The sequence below is a fragment of the Homo sapiens genome, chromosome 4 (assembly GCF_000001405.40).
Source record: "Homo sapiens chromosome 4, GRCh38.p14 Primary Assembly".
In the NCBI taxonomy this organism is placed as follows: Eukaryota; Metazoa; Chordata; class Mammalia; order Primates; family Hominidae; genus Homo; species Homo sapiens.
In genome coordinates this window covers 62,359,755-62,362,628 of record NC_000004.12, presented here as the reverse complement: position 1 = coordinate 62,362,628, position 2,874 = coordinate 62,359,755, and the positions used below count along the sequence as shown (strand labels likewise).

General features: G+C 43.6%; 1 annotated feature.

Annotated features, from left to right (window-relative positions):
• Positions 242 to 1,441: an enhancer, noted in NCBI's record as "CDK7 strongly-dependent group 2 enhancer chr4:63226906-63228105 (GRCh37/hg19 assembly coordinates)". NCBI's record gives its function as "activates an origin of replication core promoter dependent on BRD2, BRD4, P300/CBP, MED14 and CDK7 cofactors, with strong dependence on CDK7, by STARR-seq in HCT116 cells {active_cell/tissue: HCT116}" and the evidence as "EXISTENCE:reporter gene assay evidence [ECO:0000049][PMID:35650434]".

The following is a 2,874-nucleotide window of genomic DNA, read 5'->3' as shown; positions in this document are numbered from 1 at the left end:
TTCTGAATCTAAATGATGCCTTAAAACTTATACATTGGGGGTAATCTTTTGCCTGTGGATACAAATTGAATCAGATCCCATAATCTCTGCTTCTTCTTAATCAACAGACATTTCCCTAGTGGCAAATACAATTCACCTATTCCCGAAGTGCTTTAATCTTCATTCAAAATTAAAACTTTTCGAGATAAGAAAAAGTTGTGTGGATCATGGCCAAAAGGCAGGACCAGACTGCAGCTCCGACTCAGATGGACAGAGCAGCGTGTGGAGGCTCGCATCAAAATTTTAGCTCCAGATCTACTGCAAGAACAAGCCAGGAATCCCAAGAGGACCCACAGACCCTTGGAAGGAAGCGGACTGCTCCTGCAGGACCAGGGAGACACCCCAAATACTGTGAGTGCCCCAATTGTGGAAGCAGGAAAGGGAGATCCTCCCCTCCCAAACACACACCCCCACTGGGGAAACTGAAGGTCTGTTTGCGGGAGAAGTTTCTGACCTTACCTGGAGCTGAGTCAATCTACAGAGCCAAGTGTAATACAGGGGTAGAAGAAGCAGCAGGAAAGGCCCTGGGAGCTCGCTGGCTCCCCAAGCAGGCCATTCCTGCCTGGCACCATGGGGATCCTTCAGGAGAGTGGCCAGAGGAGCCCAGGGAAAAACACCACAGGGAGAAGGAAATCTCCAGCTGAACTTTGTAACAATTTGAACCAGGCGAGAAGCCTCCTGGCCGGAACTTGAGGGAGAGTGTGAATCTGGTGTGCAGACTCCATAGGCAAAGGAAGAACCAAAGCCCTGGTCTTTTGCAGCTGGGAGGCAGGTAGCTTGGGGCAAGTTCTCAAGTGTGGCTCACCCACCACCTGGAAACAGACTCAGGGCTGTTAGGGGGAGTACGGTGGGAGTGAGACTGGCACATTGGATTGTGTGGGAGTTGGGTGAGGCCTGTGACTGCTGGTTTTCCCCCACTTCCCTGACAACCTGCATGACTCAGCAGAGGCTGCCATAATCCTCCTGGATACACAACTCCATTGACCTGGGAACCTCACCACCATCCCCAACAGCAGCTGCAGCAAGACCCGCCCAAAGAGTCTGAGCTCAGACTCACCTAGCCCTGCTCCCACCTGGTGGGCCTTCCCTATCCACTGGAGTAGCTGAAGACAAAGGGTATATAATCGTGGGAGTTCTAGGGCCCCACCCACCATCTGTTCCTCCCCATACTACCACATCTGATGCTCCCTGGAAAGCACCAGCTGCCGGCAGGATGCCAACCAGCACAAAAATAGAGCATTAAACCATCAAAGCTAAGAACCATTATGGAGTCCATTTCACCGCCATGCCACCTCCACTGGAACAGGTGCTGGTATCTACAGCTGAGAGACCCATAGACAGTTCACATCGCAGGACTCTGTGCAGACAACCCCCAGTACCACTTCAGAGCCAGGTAGACTTGCTTGGTAGCTAGACCCAGAAGAGAGATAACAATCACTGCAGCTTGGCTAACAGGAAGCCACATCCACAGGAAAAGGGGGAAGAGATATACATGTGTATATCTCTTCACAGTCTTCTTGCCTTCCCTACAATTTTGGGGGGCACCCCACATTTTTTTTGTATCAATATGGCCAAAGGATCCAAAGATAGGGACTATTTCTCTTTTAAATTTGGGTATGGCATTTATCTCACATTCACTTTGGAGACTGATATTTATAATTGATAGCTCACTTAAAATAAAACAGAAGCTATAATTGTATTCCTGACCTCACTTTTTATGAACTTCACTTTAAATAACATTTTGTTTGACTATCAGGGCCACATTGTTTTGTTTCCACTATTTCATCAACAAACATAAATTTGTACATATTTTGTGTTAAGCATACAGCTGTTAAAAAAAAGAAAAAAGGCCAGGCAATTTCCTTATTTTAGTGAAGCAAATTTCCTAGTGGAAAAAAGAAGTGTTATATGAATAGATAAATAAATAAGCAATATAACTTCAGATTATTATATGAACCCCAATGGCTACAAAGAGCATGACAGCAGTGGCCCATAGATGAGAAATGAGTGGTCAGAGGCCTGCAGTGGATGGGCTGGTCAAAGACAGTTTCTCTCAGCAGGTAAAACAAAGGTTAATACATGAAGAATGTGGAGATGCAAGTTATGGAAGAAACAAACAAATAACATTCCAGGTCCAATGGGGCAGAAAGTACAAAGGCTTTCATATGACCTTCGTAGTCTTGAAGAGATTTGGAGATTAGGAAGCCAATGTGCCAAACCACAGCCAGCCAGATGGAGAATAGTTTAGGATGAGATAGAGATCCTAGAAATTTTTTCCAATACTCAATAGTTGGAAGGTATGTAACATTCCTTTGTGAAATCTAGATTGACAGTGTGTCTCTTGTGATATAAACATTAATACATATAAAATGCATTAATTTCATTAGGAGAGTTAATTAGTGTCTAGCTTGATTTGTTAATGATCATTTAAACTTGGTCTTGAAAGAAATAGATCCACTTTCAGGAATATGATTCAATTCTTTGATGAACAAAGAAATTCTGAAAACCCTTAGGGTGTATAACTGTTTCTCTAATGCAGTGTGCTGAAGAAAGACAGCCCCTTGTGCTCAGAGTGAATTTGGCTGCCAAAATCCTGCAACCAAAAACTTTGTGATTTGCTGAAGATTCTACTATGAACATTTCAGATAGAAAAACTGGATAGCTCACAGAGTAAAGCAATTTATAAAAGGCTTTCAAAAACTCTGCATATTTAATCAAACAGTTGTGTATGATGCTTATAAAATAAGATCTCTCTGGGGGATGGAGATTTTTAAAGACTACGCCTCAAACTAAGAAAGATCCCAATGCATATTCAATTTCACTGTAAAATTGAAT